The 19,799-nt window shown below is 39.7% G+C and overlaps 6 annotated features.

Annotated features, from left to right (window-relative positions):
• Positions 926-1,853: an enhancer, noted in NCBI's record as "OCT4-NANOG-H3K27ac-H3K4me1 hESC enhancer chr4:123709565-123710492 (GRCh37/hg19 assembly coordinates)". NCBI's record gives its function as "activates a minimal SCP1, AML or CMV promoter by ChIP-STARR-seq in primed H9 embryonic stem cells {active_cell/tissue: H9 hESC(primed)}" and the evidence as "EXISTENCE:reporter gene assay evidence [ECO:0000049][PMID:30033119]".
• Positions 9,610-9,904: a silencer, noted in NCBI's record as "tiled region #4773; HepG2 Repressive non-DNase unmatched - State 23:Low". NCBI's record gives its function as "represses a minimal TATA promoter and a strong SV40 promoter by Sharpr-MPRA in HepG2 cells {active_cell/tissue: HepG2}" and the evidence as "EXISTENCE:reporter gene assay evidence [ECO:0000049][PMID:27701403]".
• Positions 10,286-10,869: an enhancer, noted in NCBI's record as "H3K27ac hESC enhancer chr4:123718925-123719508 (GRCh37/hg19 assembly coordinates)". NCBI's record gives its function as "activates a minimal SCP1, AML or CMV promoter by ChIP-STARR-seq in primed H9 embryonic stem cells {active_cell/tissue: H9 hESC(primed)}" and the evidence as "EXISTENCE:reporter gene assay evidence [ECO:0000049][PMID:30033119]".
• Positions 10,286-11,822: a biological region, named in NCBI's record as "MED14-independent group 3 enhancer GRCh37_chr4:123719262-123720461".
• Positions 10,623-11,822: an enhancer, noted in NCBI's record as "MED14-independent group 3 enhancer chr4:123719262-123720461 (GRCh37/hg19 assembly coordinates)". NCBI's record gives its function as "activates an origin of replication core promoter dependent on BRD2, BRD4, P300/CBP and CDK7 cofactors, and independent of MED14, by STARR-seq in HCT116 cells {active_cell/tissue: HCT116}" and the evidence as "EXISTENCE:reporter gene assay evidence [ECO:0000049][PMID:35650434]".
• Positions 10,870-11,453: an enhancer, noted in NCBI's record as "H3K27ac hESC enhancer chr4:123719509-123720092 (GRCh37/hg19 assembly coordinates)". NCBI's record gives its function as "activates a minimal SCP1, AML or CMV promoter by ChIP-STARR-seq in primed H9 embryonic stem cells {active_cell/tissue: H9 hESC(primed)}" and the evidence as "EXISTENCE:reporter gene assay evidence [ECO:0000049][PMID:30033119]".

A 19,799-nucleotide genomic window follows, 5' to 3' on the forward strand; every position in this document is an offset into this window, starting at 1 on the left:
AAAGGCCCCATTACAGAAATTTGGGGAGTTTAAATACCCTCTAGAGGATTCCACTGGTTACATGGGGTATGTCCTATGTAAATAAAGAGGATGAAGTAAAGTTACAAAGTTATTTACTTGGCCTACAGGCTATGGAGAAGATATTTCCTGTCACAGCTGAAGTGCAAATTGGCCTTATGTTCCCTACCTCCAGACCCTGTTGTCCTGCCTCAGGGAAAAAGGATGGGAGGGGGTAAGGGATAAAAGACTACACATTGTGTAAAGTGTACACCGCTTGGGTGTTGGGTGCACCAAAATCTCAGAAATAACCACTAAAGAAGTTAGCTATGTAACCAAACGTTACCTGTTCCCGAAAAACCTATTGAAATAAAAATAAATGAATAAATAGATCCATAGAACCACCCTAAAAAAACAGTGGGACATGAAGTAGAGCTTCCAGCAGCCCCCAGGAGCACTAAGTGACCAAGCAAGGTACCCAGGCTTATCGTGGCCATTGCTCTCTCAGAGTAACTAGGGATCATGGGTTAAGTTCTCACTCAGATTCTGAAGTTTCATGGATTTGTGCTTTCAACTATCTGTGTTTGTCTGAGCAATTTTTTTTTTTTAATCTGAACTGGGTTTGGAAGTTGCAACAGAAACTGTGGACTGGGTCCAGGATTGGATCTGACCTGATAATTAACTGGACTGGATTCATTTAGAAGCCTTGGATATCCAGCTGGGTCAGACAGAAACTGGCAGTAAGTGGCAATACTGCAGGGGTACAAACTCTGACTTTTGGAAATCTGCAGGGATTTTCATATTCTTTGTTTCTTTTTCTTTTGCACTTAGGTAAAGAAAAATGATTGGCTTAGTTGGTCAATGGAATCTAAGAGCCACAGCCAAGATTCAATGTAAAATTAGAATCTTTAATTTCTGAATAACTGACTGCTCCACCCTCTGGCTACATTTACCTGTGCATGTATAAATGTTAGACCATGGAAGCAGTAACACTTATAGCAATAGCAAAATCTTACTAAAGGTAATTTAAAATTATAGTGGAACATTCCAAATGACAACACTGAACTTTAAGAAGTGCCTTTAAGGCTGGGCATGGTGACGCATGCCTATAATCCCAGCACTTTGGGAAGACAAGGCAGGCACATCATGATGTCAGGAGATCCAGATCATCCTAGCCAACATGGGGAAACCCCATCTCTACTAAAATACAAAAAATTAGCTGGGCAAGGTGGTGCGTGCCTGTAGTCCCAGCTACTCGGGAGGTTGAGGCAGGGGAATCGCTTGAACCCAGGAGTGGAGGTTGCAGTGAGCCGAGATCATGCCACCGCACTCCAGTGTGGAGACAGAGCAAGACTCCATCTAAAAAAAAAAAGAAAGCTCCGAATTAGTTTCAACCAGTGATGCATATGGATATGTAAAAGCCTGTAAAAAGGTCTCAATATTTTGTTGCTTTTTAAAAGACTTTATAAAAGGCGTGTAAAAAGCTTAAGTGACTAGTTGATTAAATCTGCTAACCTTTTGGCTTAGTTACTATCCTGCCCTAAAGGCTAAAAGAAAGCTATCCTGGGTAGAGTTTATCAAGGTAAGCCCTCAGGTAAAGTAGGCTTCTTTTTCATCTATAAAGGAAATTTACATTTGTAAGGTTGTCTGCTTCTGTGCGCTCAGAAAACAGAAAGAACTGTGTCACTAGAAACTCTTACCAATGACGTAAATTTCCATAACAAGTCTTACCTTTGTTTAAGGTGCTTTTCCTGGTCCGCTTGTCTTAACTGGGCCTTTACATCTTTCTTTCTTGTTTTGGCAAATGATGGTACAATATTTAGGCCTGAAGTCTCAGCTCTGTGCTTTGGAGATATGCAAATGATGGTACAATATTTAGGCCTGAAGTCTCAGCTCTGTGCTTTGGAGATATAAATTTCTACTTTGCTTCACCAAAGAGTAATCCTTTTGGAAGGGTAAATTTAGAGTTGCCTAGCTAACAGTGGCTTAGGGCAAAGATACAGGTAATTGGAAGGTTGATAGTGTAAATTTGGGGAAAATAATTTTAAAGCCAGCAAATGAAAATTCTTTATGAAAGCTATAAGATCTGCCTCTGGCTGTGTGTGGTGGCTCATGTCTGTAATCCCAGCACTTTGAGAGGCCAAGGCAGGTGGATCACCTGAGGTCAGGAGTTCTGTCTCAAAAAAAAAAAGATCTGCCTCTATGTATGTCTATATGTCTATATGTGTTATGCATATAAGCATAAGGAATAATATTTGGTAAATAAAGCTGGTTTTTAAATTGTTAGTAAAATAAAATAGGAATGGCTTCAAAACTGTCAGCTAACTATAACTCAGAAATGTTTGCCTGGGTTCAAAATATCACTGCTGATGCCAATTAACCCAGTCAACCAAGAGCTCTGATGGAGATGTACAAGGAGATTGTTGTTTTCAAGCCTTCTAACATAGCATCCATTCTGCGGCCCCTAGATCAAGGAGTAATTTTGACTTTTAGTCTTATAATTTAAGAAAAACATTTTATGCATTCTGTAAGGCTATAGCTGCCATAGATAGTGATTCCTCTTATGGATCTGGGCAAAGTAAACTGAAAACCTGCATGTAATAATTCACTATTCTATAATGACACCACTAAAAACATTCATGATTCAGGGGAAGAAGTTGTAATATCAACATTAACAGGGGTTTGGAAGAAGTTGATTTCAACCCTCATGGATGACTCTGAGGGGTTTAAGACTTCAGTGGAGGAGGTAATTGCAGATGTGGCAGAAAAAGCAAGAGAACTAAAATTAGAAGAGGAGCCTCAAGATGTCACCAAATTGCTACAATCTCATGATCAAACTTGAACAGATAAGGAGTTGTTTCTTAAGCATAAGCAAAGAAAGTGGTTTCTTGAGATGAAATCTACTGGTGAAGACACCGTGAACATTGTTGAAATGACAACAAAGGATTTAGAATATTACATGCACTTAGTTGATAAAGCGGTGGCAGAGTTTCAGAGGATTGATTCCAGTTAGGAAAGTTCTACTGTTGGTAAAATGCTATCAAACAGCATCACATACTACAGACAAATGTTTAATGAAAGGAAGAGTCACTCAATGTAGCAAACTTCATTCTTGTCTAATTTTAAGTAATTTCCACAGCCATGCCAACCTTCGGCAACCAGCATCCTATCAGTCAGCAACCATCAACACTGAGGCAAGACCCTCTACCAGGAAAATGATTATGACTCACTGAAGGCTCAGATTGTCAGCATTTTTAGCAATAAAGTATTTAAAAATTAAAAAAAAAAAAGAAATGTTTGCCTGGGCCTACAGACGGACAGGTTTATGCTATCTGTAATGCATTTTTTTTTTTTTTTTTTTTTTTCTGAGATGGAGTTTCACTCTTGTTGCCCAGGCTGGAGTGCAATGGCACAATCTCGGCTCACTGCAACCTCCGCCTCCCAGGTTCAAGCAATTCATCTGCCTCAGCCTCCCAAGTAGCTGGGATTACAGGCACGCACCACCATGCTGGGCTAATTTTTTGTATTTTTAGTAGAGATGGGGTTTCTCCATGTTGGTCAGGCTGGTCTCAAACTCCCGACCTCAGGTGATCCTCCCACCTCGGCCACCCAAAATGCTGGGATTACAGGTGTGAGCCACTGCGCCCAGCCTCTAATGCAAGTTTTAAGGTCATAAAACTGTTGCTGCTTTAATATTCTTGATACTTGCTTGATTTTTTTGTGAACTCATATTTTGGTCATGAGGCTCTGGAGTCTAGAGTCTGGATAGATGGCTATGGTAAGGCCTGGGAACACGTCTTCAGCACCTACACCACCAGCTGCAAGGCACAGTCAAACCCAATATGACCCCTTCCTCCCTGGGTCAGCTTTTCCTCCTATCCATTCTTGGAGGAGTTGGATCCTCCAGGCATCATCTTTATAGCACTGTCCTCTGTCCTGACCTCTATACCTGGTATGTAAATTCAGGACCCAGACAGGGCCTGCCCCTCATAGCCATCCTGGGTGACACATGGCTACTTGAGATCTAGGATGACTAGGGAATACAACTGTATCATAGTTTCAAAATTATTTTCAGTAGTTTAAAATCTTAAAGTCATGTTATATTAAATTTAGTAACATATAATTATAAAATGCCTCAGTCATTTATGAGCAAGTTAAAATGCTGAAACATTAATTATTAAAATAAGTTTAATTTACATACTTTGGCATATTATTTTAGTATGATATAGAAAAGCTAAATGTGTTTAGATCTATTAATAAACAAAAAAGAGTGTATTTCTAAAAAATTATAAAATGTTTTTCATCTACAAATACTGACATGAAACAGTTCAAAATTAAGGTTTTCACTAGAAATTAGGGTTAGTAAGAGGTGAAATTGTAGTTAATATATGTAATTAAAACTACTGGACAGCCAGGTGCAGTGGCTCACTCCTGTAATCCCCACATTTTGGGAGGCCGAGGTGGGTGGATCACCTGAAGTCAGGAGTTTGAGACCAGCCTGGCCAATATGGTGAAACCCTGTCTCTACTAAAAATACAAAAATTAGGTGGGCATGGTGGCATGCACCTGTAATCCCAGCTACTGAGGAGGCTGAGGCAGGAGAATCACTTGAACCTGGGAGGAAGGGGTTGCAGTGAGCCAAGATCGTGCCATTGCCCTCCAGCCTGGGTAACAAGAGTGAAACTCTGTCAAAAAAAAAAAAAAAAAAAACTACTGGACATAAGAGAAATAATTCTGTATACAGGGTGTATAAAGAAAAGCAAGATATGTCTTTGATGAGGAAAGTTGTAAAGGGTTGAAAATGTGCATTTGTTGAAAAAAAGTAATTTTGCCTAATTTAGAAGTTACTTAAAAGTTGTTTCAAATTGAGTGAGTAAAAAAAGATAAAGATAAAACTAGTAAATATAGAAAGTTCGGAAGACAAATACAATAGAAAAAATTGTTTAAGATATAAAAGGCTTATGGAAATCTTGTGTGGTCAAAAGTTGACTGAGATTGGATAGACTTATTTATAAAGTTTTATTAAAATTAGCTTTAGTATTGATAATATACATATACAAAAGTAAAATTTGGTTTTCTCATTGGAACAAGAATTTTGTATACCATTAATAAGAGACATTAAAATACTTTTTTTCACCTTTCGAGTAAACTACAAAAAAAGAGGAAAGAGGAGAGACAGATTTTATCTCATGCTGACTTTATTAGGTATTTTGATTATTTGGAAAACTATCTCCTCTCTATCAAAAAATAAAGGTTTTTGCATTTCAAAACCTTTTAATTACCACTTCGGCTAGATGAATGACTGTTATTTTAAACTGACTTGTGGTCCTATTTTGATTAAGTATTGTAAACCTTTGACATATTTGGCAGTCTTCCCAAAATCAAATCATGAATTCAAAATTGAATCTGTTTGGCCTCAAACTAACTCTGGGATATTAGAAGTCCCCTGCAACATTCAGAAAAAAGATAATAAATTGGCTTATTTGATATGTTAAATTGCATGGAAAGCATTGTAAAATAAGTAATGGTGTTCAACCTTCTTTGAGTTATATTTTTATGTGTATGTTCTTAATATATGTTCCAAATTATATGAGATTCCTAAAACTCTGATATGTCTTGGTATGTTATCATTCATAGTTATGATTATGTTGTTATTGTAGGCCATGGAAATAACCAAACTTCCTTTTCAATTGTGTCTTTATAACCATTTAAAGTCATTTCTGCAGTTAATTGCTTAATTCTGATGCAATTTCTGAAAGTTCTTAACAAACAAATAAATTCCTACAGTGTTGTATCTTCAAGGAGGTTCATGGAAAGGATGGAAAAGACACTGACGAGCATCCTTGAATATAGGCTTCTGATAATTTTTAGATAATATAATATGGATGAGATAAGAATTCCCAGAACTCTAATGAAGAGCTGGACTAATTTATAAAACTGCTAACCCAAGCGAGACAAGAATTAATTGAATACAAAGGAAATACTCTGCCAGATTTTCATGCTAAATCAGCCAGTACTAAAATCCTTTAGATATGCAAGTTGAATGAACTCCATTGTCCAAGTCAAATTACCTGTAATAACCCATCTAATAAACAGTGCTACACACAGGATTTGGAAAAACAAAATTGATATTTAAGAGGATATAAATCCAGTGTTAAGCATGGACTCAAGAAAAGCCTAGAGAGCCACCTAGTCTTTCTCCAGTCCTCAAGCCTTCTCTTATTAAAAGGTCTACACCCCATGACTCATCATGGCAGAGAAAAAATTATCAAATTATATAAAAACATATATTGGTGTGAGGACTGCTCTAAATTGCTAAAATGGTTTATGACCAATGTTTGGTTTGTTGAACCCATAATCCTGGGAAGACAATCAAAACTTTGGGTATATTTCTGCTGCCTGATAGACCATTTGAACACTTATAGAGGTATTTCATTCAATTGTTATTTTCAGTGCATGTTTTCTGGTTGTATAGAAGCTTTCTCATGCAAGAAGGCTGATGCTTATGACACCATTAGGAAATATGTTTCCCTTGTAGGGCAATCCTGGAGAAATTTCCAGTGACAAAGGTACTTGTTTTACTAGGCAAGTTGCAAAACAGCTAAATAAGATATTACAGATACAATAATATTAGGAAAAGCTAAACTAAATCAACTTGATTGCCTTGGTCAAAGGTATTGCAGATTGATGATGATCAGATCCACTTCCAGTGAAAAAACATAAGTTGGCCTCTTATGAAATAGTGACTGGAGGGCCTATGCTCCTAATAATAGAACCTTGTGTATCTTCTGCCCCTAAACTCTGATCTGACTAAATACTACAAGGACTTAATGCATTATGACAAAGTGTATTTCCTCTAGGTAAAGGAAGCTTTCCATGATCCACTGACTGAGGACAATCAAACCTTTCACAATCTAGAACCCATAGATTGGATCTTGTGGAAACAACACCAGAGAAAGACTGCACTTGCCACTCACACTGCAGCAAAACTTTGAGACCTCAAACCTTGGGTCCTTAATCTCACAACTCAGAAGGCACCTCCAGACTCATGGAACTATACCCCCATTGGAAACCTTAAGGAAAAGCTAACCAGGCAAGTTTCTCCCCAGAAGCAGATGGCATCCTAGATGTGGACTGCTTTCCCAGGATCTCAAATCAGACTTCTCTGCTATCATGAGACACTTACCTCTCTTAATTTTTTTTTCTGCTTATGCCTCTGTGAATAATGGAGCTGGAAAAGGGGACTTGTGTGCACTCACAGGGTATATTTTATTTGTAGAGGATTTTGCAACCAGCCTTATACATGGGCACCCTTATGCCTTGGTGGATGGAAGATGAAGCACCAATGCGAGTGAGAATTTTTAATGGTAACTTTTTGTTCTATAATTAGTCAGAACATTGGTCCACTCCTCTTAGCCTACATCATAAGTTAAAGAGAATGTTGCTGGAGGCCTATCTCTTCTGGATAGGCATCAGTTGTTAGGTCTCTTTTTTCCTTGGTTCGGAGTAAATGAAACAATAATTAGAAATTTAGCCCTCGTAATAGGCTATAACAGATTCTACTGCAAAGGCTATAGTTGCACAACAGGCTTTAAATTCTCTTGATAATGTTGTGGTAGATAATAAAATTGCTCTAGATTACTGATGGGCTAAGCAGGGAGGGAAGAATCTGCGCAATTACTGACACTACTTGTAAATGTATAAATACATTGGGTATTATAGACATTCAGTTGTAGGGGATTAATAAACAGGCTGCTTGGTTGAAACAAGTAGACTCTTTATCTGGCTCTTTCTTTGATATATTCGGTTTTACTTGGTTTGGCTCATGAGGACCCTGGCTGAGGAGCGTACTACAAACTCTTGGTATTATCCTCCTGATAATCATAATAGTAGTTTCTCTGGTGCATTGTATTCTCTCAAAAGTTTCAAATGTTTTCATGCAGCCATCTATAGAATATCAAATGCTATCTCTTCAACTGGAATAACAAAACCTCAAAGAAATGGATGATCATGAGGACACCATAACCTATTGAGTGGTTGAACAAAAGGAGGGAATTATTAAATTAAGTTTAGCGGCCGGGCGCTATGGCTCACGCCTGTAATCCCAGCACTTTGGGAGGCCGAGGCGGGTGGATCACGAGGTCAGGAGATCGAGACCATCCTGGCTAACACGGTGAAACCCCGTCTCTACTAAAAAATACAAAAAATTAGCCGGGCGTGGTGGCGGGCGCCTGTAGTCCCAGCTACTCGGGAGGCTGAGGCAGGAGAATGGCATGAACCCGGGAGGCGAAGCTTGCAGTGAGCCGAGATCGCACCACTGTACTCTAGCCTGGGCGACAGAGCAAGACTCCGTCTCAAAAAAAAATAAAAAATAAAAAAAATAAATAAATTAAGTTTAGCTTAAAGCTGTCTCCTGAATATATTTCAAATTCAGCATAACAGTTTTCTCGACACGTAGTGAATGGTAATCTAACTGGATGTGTAAATAGACTGCAACCTACTCTCGTACCAATCACCAAGTTGTAGCTAATCAAAGGTGGCCAACTGTTTAAGCCATGTTCAAAGCATGTTCATAAGGTAAATGCTGAGTTGTAACAAATACAGCTGTTTCTGTATCTCACTTCCATTTTGTGTACATCACTTTTCTTTGTCTGTTCATAAATTCTCTCTGACCATACAACAATGTCAGTGTCTCTCTGGACCCATTATGATTTCTGGGGACTGCCTGGTTTGAGAATTGTTTTTTGCTCAATTAAACTCGGTTAAATTTAATTTTTCTGAAGTTTTTCTTTTAACACATGGTTCTTCCTCTTTTGGTCAGGAATATACTGTTTTGTCTTGTGGGTTTTTTTGGCCAGCTCTCCTCATCCTTGTATTTTGATTTGACCCTAGAAACAATGCCAACAAAATGAATGTTGTGAAGAAGTTGCGGTTGATCTGGAGAAAAAGGGCTTTCTATGTATAGTGGATCCAATACTTTATAGGCCATAATCTCTGATGAAGAAATGCAGCATTTAAAATTTTTTTGCCTTTTTTTTTTTTGAAATGGAGTCTTACTCTGTGCCCCGCAGGCTAGAAGGCAGTGGTGTGATCAGAACTTACTACAGCCTCAAATCCCTGGCTGGGCTCAAGCAATCTTCCTACTTTGCCTCAGCCTCCTCAGCCTCCCAAGTAGCTGGACTTAAAAGGCATGAGCCACTGCATCTGCTAAACTTAGTCTTTATGTTTCTCCTGATGTCTCAAAACATAATCGAGTTGGTTCTACATAAATACAATCATTTCAGTGTGTATCTTACTTATTTCAGATTTAAACATGGCCAGTCATTCAAGAACTTTCCCCAACTCCTCATTCTCCCAAAATAGTAGCTGGTGTTGGAGGGAATGTCTTAGGTGAGATTCTCTAGAAGCCAAGCCTAAGGCAGAGATTCTTATGCAAGTGACTGATTGAGGGAGTGCTCTCAGAACAAAGCTGTAAACAAATGGAGGCAGTGGGATTCCTCAGGGGAAGAAGTTAAGCACATGAAATTTCAACCGAAATCTAGCCTCAGCTTGCAAAGGAACCCTGGAATGTGAATGGAATCACAAAGTTGAGCCCACCTGTGTCAGGTGGCCAGGTTTTTGTGCCCCATCTCAGTCCTAGTCATTGACTCCCAGCGAGGGTTGGAGTGATGTAACCTCCCAGCTAGTTTTGGGCAGATCCCAGCTGAGGGCAATTTTCTGGAGAAGAGTAGCCGTGTCAGCTATTATCAGCCAACACTTACAACAGCTGGGGATGGGTGTGCTGGTCAAATAAAGGAAATGGGTGAGACAAATAGTGTCTACTAGAAGGAGCTTTCAAGATGTCCAGGCATTGGGCCAGTGTTCTGAATATTTGGTCTTCCATCGCTGTGTCACTACTATGTCATTCAACAGTATCCATTTATCAGCAGATAAAGGGATAAATGCTGCACAGATGTGCTGACCCATTTGGTCCTCAGCTGGCCATCATCAGCTGAGACATACCTGACAATTCATCTGATCCACAAATGTAGCCAACGCTGTAGCACCTCCACATCCCAGCCTTGAGATCCCCATAGGTTCTCTCTGTCTCTCTTTCTCCCTGTCTCTGTCACTCTCTCCTCTCTTGGAGCCTGGAAAGCATTGACTACTCTCCTATCACTTGGTGGGTGAACAGGGTTATGAGATTACATTAGGCTGTGTGTGGGTCTTCTTTTGAGACTTACAACCATTCCTGAAATACATCTTGGGACATGAGGCTCCCTCAATTTTGGAATTCGGCAAACTTATTGGGAGATTCTCTTCTGGTACCTTCCAGAGTTTCAACCCCATAAGGAAACAAATGTGCCCCTTATGTGCCCTCAGATTCCCATGCCAGCCACTTCCCCTGAGCTGCTTTCCTCCCTCTGCTTGGGCAATGCTTCTTCATCTACCTTCTTTACAGTGTATTGTTCAGGTTAAACTTCATGCCTGGTGATTTTCCTATTTGAAACTAAAAAAACCTTTTCTTTCTCAACAGCCTTGATTTTTGTTTTTCCTTCACAAACTGTTGTCTCAGCTGTGGGTTTCAAAAGTCTATTCTTAAAACACAAAAGCTAAACAATAATTATTTCTTTCTTTTTGCGTTCCTGATTTAATAATTCTAATCCTCCCTGAGGCAACGGATGCCTCTGACTGGAGCTTCTGAAACAAGGAGGTTTTCAGAAGAAAATACACACCCCTGCCACAGTCAAGAGGGCGTGGCAAAGTCTAGGCCCTATCTTGGGGACACTTGGAGGATGAGAAGTTCAGTAAAGAGAAGGAAGGGTGCCAGAAAGGCAAATGGAAAATCAAGATGAGTTTTTAGAGGTTTCAGTTTCAGTCTTGTTAGGGCAATCCCTAGATCACTTCCCCCATCCAGGGCCTCCCTGCAGAGGGCATGTCAGGACTTGCAGGATCTGGCTCCGGAGAAGAGAATAGGATGGAAAGAAACCATTTAAAATTTATTCAAGATATTCAAAATATGCAGCAATGAAAACGTTGGCCTAGGTTCAGATACACCAACAAATATCCTAAATGCCTACTGCTAGAGAAGAATTTTTAAAACATAAGAATTTATTTCAAAATACATCTGACAACGAAATAAAAGGAGTAATAGGGAACTGGTAAAAGGAAAATATTATTTTTCTTCATTCTAGGAAACACAGATGAAGAGGGAATATTATTCTGGTTAAAAAAAAAAAAGAATTAGTGGCATGATTGAAAAGGGCTTAGTAATTTAAATAAGAGGTACAGCTATCCAGTGTGTTCCGGAAACTCACCAGAGTGAACTGAGGCTTGGCCACATGATCTCTCTTGATTCCAGATTTTTGGGTCAAAGAAACGTTTCCAAAAAAAATTGTTTTTGGTAAGCATTTTTGGCTGTTTATAAATAAATGTTTAGAGTTTGCTTTTTTAAAAACTTTTTGGCCTTTTAACTGATAGTTCATTATCAGTCAATAAGCTCTGAATCAGGTTATAGTTGTAATCATATTGTTAACATTTGCTGAGTGCTTATTATATGTACTTTACATATAGTAACTCATTTAATTCTCACAAGAACCCCTGAGATAGATATTATGAGTATTCCCGTTTTACAACTGAGGAAACTGAAGAAAATTTAACTAAACACTTACTATGTACAAGGAATTAAGTGCTTTGTATGCAGTATTTCATCTAATGCTTTTAAAAAATAGCTATGAGGCTCTATTATTTTCTCCATTTTATAGATGAGGAAATTGAGACTCGCAGAGTTGAATTTATTTTAAGATGACATAATTAGTAAGTGATGAAGGATGAAATTTAAACCAAATCTACCTGATACCCAAATCCCTTGCTCATGTAATGTTGAAAAGCTAGAAATTATATATCCAATAAGAAGTAATTTAGTTAAACTAATTAAAGATACATTCGTATAATGATGCTGAAGATATACCATATTGATATATGAAGCAAAACTTTCAGCTGAACAAAGCAGCTAAGAAAATATGCACAATATGGTTTCATTTTAAAATACATAAACAGGACAGTCACAGTGGCTCACACCTGTAATCACAACATTTTGAGAGGCCAAGGCAGAAGGATCCCTTGAGCCCAGGAGTTCAAGACCAGCCCCAGCAACATAACAAGACCCCGTCCATCTCTACAAAATATTTAAAAATTAGCTGGGCATGGTGGCACACACCTGTAATCCTAGCTACTCAAGAGGTTGAGGTGAGTGGATCACTTGAGCCCAAGAGTTCGAGGTTGCAGTGAGCCATGATCCTGCCACTGCACTCAAGGCTGGGTGACAGAGCAAGACTGTGTCTCTATAAAAAATAAAATAAGATAAAATCATAAACATATGTATACTTTCCTAGAAAGGAACATAGAAGCAAATTGAAAATGCAGGGATCCTTGTTCAAAAATTATGAAGAATTTCAGGATGACAGCAGAGCACAAACCTTCTGAGCATAGGTCCTTGTGCAGCTGTACAAGTCACACACCTGTGAAGCTGGCCCTGATTAGTAGTACTGTTTATGTTCTTCTTTTTGCTTGTCAGTATTGCATTGCTTGTACGTCTTACTTTGGTAATAAGAAAAATGATAAACTAAGAAAAGAAAGGGCATCAAATGTGATGAGAGTTTTGGAATATATACGTATAAATATAGATATACATAAACATACACATATAGATATAAAGAGATAGATAATTTTTTTCCTCATTGCCTACCCTCTTTATTTCTTGCCTAAATAATTTGGTCCTGGGGAGTAGGTTAGTGGCCCAGCACCAGATGGTGGAGCCCAGGAGGAATGAGAACAGCATCCGCATTGAGTAGGGCAGGCAGTGCTGTCATGGCATGTGCACCCACGCAAGATAAGGAAAGCATCCAGGCAGGGGGCAGCCACCTATGATGGGATGCTGGAGGCTGAATGAGGTGAGCACTGATGGTGGGAGGAGATTGGTCACATTGAGGATTGATCCAATAAATATTTTTAAGTAATGGGAACAAAGTTTCTCATTTTTAGAAAAAGGAGTTACAAATATGGAAAAGGAGAAAAGTGGAATAAACTCGGTGGCATGTAAGACTAAAATAGAAATATTTTAATCAGTGGTTTTGTCTTTTCCATAATATGTGTGTATACATACATATATGTAGACATATATTATGTATTTTCTAGCTCTTTCCATTGGGCAGGCCTGAGAGCAATGCCATTGCAATAACACTGAGCATACCTAGTGTCCAGATCTCAGGGGTTTTGTTTTTTGTTTTTTGTTTTTTTTGAGACGGAGTCTTGCCCTGTTGCCCAGGCTGGAGTGCAGTGGCACAGTCTCGGCTCACTGCAACCTCTGCCTCCCAGGCTCAAGCAATTCTCCTGCCTCAGCCTCCCAAGTAGCTGGGATTATAGGTGCCCGCCACCATGCCCAACTTACTTTTGTATTTTAGTAGAGACAGGGTTTCACCATGTTGGCCAGGCTGGTCTCGAACTCATGACCTCATGATCCGCCCTCCTTGGCCTCCCAAAGTGCTGGGATTACAGGTGTGAGCCACCACACCTGGCCCAGATCTCAGTTTTTAAACACCATTCTCTGCAATTAAAAAAAAAAAAAAAAAAAAAAAGGCCGGGCGCGGTGGCTCACGCCTGTAATCCCAGCACTTTGGGAGGCCGAGGCGGGCGGATCACAAGGTCAGGAGATCGAGACCATCCCGGCTAAAAGGGTGAAACCCCGTCTCTACTAAAAATACAAAAAATTAGCCGGGCGTAGTGGCGGGCGCCTGTAGTCCCAGCTACTTGGGAGGCTGAGGCAGGAGAATGGCGTGAACCCGGGAGGCGGAGCTTGCAGTGAGCCGAGATCCCGCCACTGCACTCCAGCCTGGGCGACAGAGCGAGACTCCGTCTCAAAAAAAAAAAAAAAAAAAAAAAAAGCAGCTGTGTGCGGTGGCTCACGCTTGTAATCCCAGCACTTTGGGAGGTCAAGGTAAGTGAATCATGAGGTCAAGAGATCGAGACCATCCTGGCCAACATGGTGAAACCCCGTCTCTACTAAAATACAAAAGTAAGCTGGGCGTGGTGGTGGGTACCTATAATCCCAGCTACTCGGGAGGCTGAGGCAGGAGAATCGCTTGAACCTGGGAGGTTCACACCTATAGTCCCAGCTACTTGAGAGACTGAGACAGGAGAATCGCTTGAGCCTGGGAGGCGGAGGTTCCAGTGAGCCGAGATTGCGCCACTGCACTCCAGCCTGGCGACAGAGGGAGACACCGTCTCAAAAAAAAAAAAAAAAAAAAAGAGAGAAAAGAAACAAAACACCAGGGCTCTTTGAAGAAATACCTGATTTCACAGATGGGTAAGAAAAGTACAAGATAAGCGTAGAACATCTGTGTGTGTATTAGAAAGTAAAGGAGTATTCAAAGGATGTTGGGAATATGTCAAAAGAACATAAAAGCCATCCTGAAGGAGTCTCTACTAGCCAAATCTGGGACAATTTCACCATCAATACAGAATGACAGAAACACCCAGCTACTTGAGAGTCTGAGGCACGAGAATTGCTTGGACCCGCGAAGCAGAGGTTGCAGTGAGCCGAGATCACGCCACAGCACTCCAGCCTGGGCGACAGAGTGAGACTCTGTCTCAAAAAAATTTTTAAAATTTAAAAATTCTAAAAAAGAAACAGAAACAAAGAAAATTTTTTTTTGATTTAAAAAAGAATGACAGAAATAGATATTGCCTATTGAATAAAATAATCATCTATTAATCCATGAATCCATACTATGAATTTATACTATTAATAACTAAAGGAAAAAGAAAGCTTTTCTTTACAATATAATATGCCAACTAATAAACAGGGTAGGAATGATGGAACTAAAAAAAAGCAATTGGCATCATAGTGGAAAATCATATATGCTTCTATGCAAAGAACAGACAACTTTCAATGGTAATTTACAAAGGAAAAATAACTGGACTAGTAACAGACTTGTTATCTACAACCTTGGTTGAACCAGATAATTTGCATTTACATTTACAGTACATGGTATATTGGCAATATCCCTATATCACGAAAGTTATCACATGTGAGATCAAACTAAAAAAGTTTTTGCATATTACAAGGGTTCTAAAAATATTCTACCCGTATATCTCTGTGAGAAAATTCTCTAACCAAGTGAAAATTAAATTTTATGAAAGGAAAGATAAGAAATTCAAGAAACATTGATGAATAATGACTCATAATATTTACAATTAAATCTAAATGTGCTGGGCATGGTGGCTCGCGCCTGTAATCCCAGCACTTTGGGAGGCCAAGGTGGGCGGATCATCTGAGGTTGGAAGTTCGAGACCAGTCTGGCCAACATAGTGAAATGGTGAAACCCATCTCTACTAAAAATACAAAAATTAGCAGGGCATGGTGGTGCACACCTGTAATCCCAGCTACTTGGGAGGCTGAGGTGGGAGAATCTCTTGAACCAGGAGGCGGAGGTTGCAGTGAGCCAAGATTGCACCACTGCACTTCAGGCTGGGTGACAGATCAAGACTCTGTCTCAAAAAAAAAAAAAAAAAAAAAAAAAAAAAACTAAATGGATGATAGTTAACTGGGAATTATACTATGTAAAGAATTTTGAAAGAGCGGAGACATTTTGTGAGGGAAAACTTGCTAATAGTCAGGGATTGAAATCCTATCATTATCTTATCCAAACTTGAGATTTGGGCAATAGGGAGACATGAGTAGCTAAATGTTCTAAAGGTTTTTTCAGTGGAAGGAGTGGAGAAACACAGAACTAGTAATCTAGCATGGTAAGAAGTCAAAGTTGTTATTTAATTTGTACGTATCAATAGAAATACATGAATTTAATTATGACAATTAGAAGCTAAAAGACAACCATTATTAGAATTGAAAAGTATATGTCAGCGAGTGAGCAAGTTGGAGATCATAATTATTTAATTTTCATATATAAATATAAATATAACTGTTAAAGTTGGGAAAGCTATGAGTAACAAAATAGAGGTGAATAGTAAAAATTCCAATTTATCAGGATGGGAGAAATGAAATAAAAAGAAAATAAAAAAGTAAGCAAAGGAGCTAAAAAGAAAATAATGTATAAAAATGTACAGGAAATAAAATTGTATAAATTTTTACTGTAAGTACAATTCTATCAAAAAGCAAAAACTCTCTGACTGAATTTGAAAATCCAGTTTAATTATATACTGTAAATATAATTATATACTGACAGGGTCTCAACAAGATTACATAATCAAAAATAGGATAATTCCAAGAAGGTTTACTTAGGAAGGTATGAGCAGGCACTAGAACTACAAAGCATAGTGTTATACTGGGGCTAATCCCAGCAGAATTGTTATCTCTCCTAGGCCCCAAAGCACAAAGGGAGGATGTGGTTACTAGAACCTGGAAGGAAAGGCTCTTACAGAGAAGGCCATCCGGAGAGGAGCCGTGACCTTTAGTTGACGTCACAGCTGTCCCTAGGGGACATCACAGGGAAGGAGCTGAGAATTGACCTTGCTCTTCTTCTCCACTTGGTCTAGCTAGGGTGCAAGGGTAGAAGTTGGTGTAGTCCCTCCAGGTCACCCTCTTCAGGCAGAGAGCAGGCAGCAGAAGGGTGGATAGTGGATCCAGAGGAGCAAGTGAACGGAAGACCCCTGCCACATCAACTATTTACAGAAACTGCACCTAAATTAGAGTGACAAAGCTTTGATTGTAGGGATGGGAAAAGGTACCTGTCTTGGTCCTTTTCTGTTGTTATATATGCAACAGAATATATATAATAACATATTATATAAAACATATTGTGTGTGTGTGTGTGTATATATATCTCTTTATGTATATAAAGGAATTTCTTTCTTATAGTTTAGAGGCTGAAAAGTTCAAGATCAAGGGGCTGCATCAGTTGAGGGCCTTCTTGCCGATGGGGACTCTCTGCAGAGACCAGAGGTGGCACAGGGCAGGCATCACATGGTGAGGGGGCTGAGTGTGCTAGCTCAGTTCTCTCTTCCTCTTCTTAAAAAGCTACCAGCCCCTCTCCTATTCCAACCCATTAATCTATTAATGGATTGATCCATTCATGAGAAGCCCCACCTCTCAGTACTGCCACATTGAGGATTAAATTTCAACATGAGTTTTGAAGGGGACAAATATTCAAACTGCAGCAGTCTCTAACTATAACTTATCTTATTAGTCAGAAGTTGTGGAATTTATGCTAGGCCCAAACTTAGGGTTTGGGGGACAGATATTAAATGTCATCTCCTAAGATAGACACCAGAAAGCCAAGTTGTCAGAATATCCCTGCAGGACTTATAATGGGCACACCAACCAACATTCCCCTTCCTCCCAGTGTACAGAAAGAGAGAACTGGGAAAGTGGAAAGGTGATTTTTAGGCCCTAAGGAGTACAGTATTCCTGATGAGAAACGCTTGAAGAGATGTACAGAGATCAAAAGTGCTTGCAAGATAGAGTGACTTGCATCTAGTTTCTTGGCTGAATGCTTGCCGAGTTGCAGAATACACAGGTCCAGTTAGGTGATGCTACCAAAGTAATGCATGGTCAGGCAGTTCTTGGGAGAGTGCTGTGGTCTCCTGAAGTGTGGGGTATGCAGGAACATGGATGCTGAGTCCGTTTCTGGCCTAGAGAACCTTAATGGTAGAGGTCACCACTGAATGACCCATGCCAGCAGGGCTTGAAGGAACGGTGGTGAGGTGTAATTAGGAAGGAAACAAGATAAAACAAGGTAACCATCCTCCCCATCCTGGCTCCAACGGGATGTGATACCACATAGGTTCTTTTTTTTTTTTTTCTGTTGCCCAGGCTGGAGTGCAGTGGCGTGACCTTGGCTCACTGCAACCTCTTCCTCCAGGGTTCAAGTGATTCTCCTGACTCAGCCTCCCCAGTAGCTGGGACTACAGGTGCATGCCACCACGCCCAGCTAATTTCTTGTATTTTTAGTAGAGATGGGGTTTCACTGTGTTAGCCAGGAAGGTCTGGATCTCTTGACCCTGTGATCTGCCTGCCTTGGCCTCCCAAAGTGCTAGGATTACAGGCATGAGCCACTGTGCCTGGCCTACTATATAGGTTCTTAACTACCTTTTCAATAGTAGATAGAATACCAGCCACTATTGCATGGGGCAGTTATACCACTTTTAAAAATATTTTTTAAAGATTCCTCTACAATATATATGAACAAACAATTTGCACAGAAGCTATTTGGTAAATTATGTACATGATGTGCTTAACCACAGCAGTATTTATAGCACTGGCAAAATACTATCTAAATGACCTAAAATACGAGGATAGTGAAATGAACTATACACATATCAACTTGACAAAATTTAATTCTTAAAATACAAATTCTATAAATTATGTAGCAAGAAAGGAAATTATAATGTTAAGTAAGAAGAGTAGCATATGAAAATATTCCTAGACTATGATTGTAATAGTGCAAAAAAGGGCATAAACCAATGTACAAATAAAACAAGAATAACTGATGTCTTAGGCTAGTGGAATGTGGGTGATGTCTTTTTTGTATTCATTACTTCTGTTGTTATAAAATTGCTTACACAGTAAATGAAATCAAAGGCCTAAAAAAGCTAAACAAATGGGTGGAAGAAGAATAGGCAGCTATTAGACAACTCTTGAGGAATTTTGCTGTACAGAGACGCACAAAATGGGGTACTATCTGGAGGAGGGGTGTGAGGTCAGGGGAGGGAGGAGCTTTGTTGAAAATAGGAAAAATAGGTACATATTTTTATGCTGATGAGAATGAGCTATTAGAAGGAAAGAACTGATGGTAGAGAAAGCAGAGCTGCTCAGCAAAGTCCTTCAGTAAAGGAGAGAAAATGTGTACCCAACACTTAAGTGGATTTAGGCCTTGGTAGGGACAGGAGGTCTCAATCTGCAGTAACAGAGGGCAGGTCCAGGGCCAGGTCGAATGTATAGAAACAGATGCAGTGGGTTAGCTATTTGATGGTGGAAAGTTGAGGAAATTCTCTTTTGATTGATTCCGTTATCTCAGTGAAATAAGAAGCAGGGGGGCCGGGCGCAGTGGCTCATGCCTGTAATCCCAGCACTTTGGGAGGCCGAGGCGGGCGAATTATGAGGTCAGAAGTTCGAGATCAACCGGGCCAACATGGTGAAGACCCATCTCTACTAAAAATACAAAAAATTAGCTGGGCGTAGTGGCAGACACTTGTAATCCCAGCTACTTGTGAGGCTGAGGCAGGAGAATCACTTGAACTCGGGAGGCAGAGATTGCAGTGAGCTGAGATGGCACCAGTGCACTCCAGCCCAGGGGGACAGAGTGAGGCTCTGTCTCAAAAAAAAAAAAAAAAGAAAAAAAATAAGAAGTAAAGCGAGGTCAACTAAGAGTGAAGGTTATTGGAAGTTTAAGGAAATTGGAGACGATATGAAAGAGTTAATGGACTAAGACACTATGGTAGAATTTCCTGAGAGAACCAAGGGGGCAGTAACAGATCTTATTGCCATATCCTGTGAATGTGTCTTAACTATGTAGTGTCAATTCCTTGAACACACAGCCTTCCTTCTTTCCCTGACTCTTAAAGAAAAGAGTTTTGTTTCAGCATCATGAATTGTTCCTAGTTTGTAAAAGGAGTTGGGCAATTGCAATTATCCACCTTTTTCATTTTATGTGAACAGTGAGATTGAAAGTACACCTCTAGGAAGCCATCTTGGAGTGTCAGTTTGCATTTACTCTTGGAGTGTTTTATCATTATGCAAGAACATCTTCCGGAAACAGCAGAATGAACTGATCTTAGACACTGACGCCCCACCCATCAGAAGCCAT

This window comes from Homo sapiens, chromosome 4 (assembly GCF_000001405.40).
Source record: "Homo sapiens chromosome 4, GRCh38.p14 Primary Assembly".
Lineage (NCBI taxonomy): Eukaryota > Metazoa > Chordata > Mammalia > Primates > Hominidae > Homo > Homo sapiens.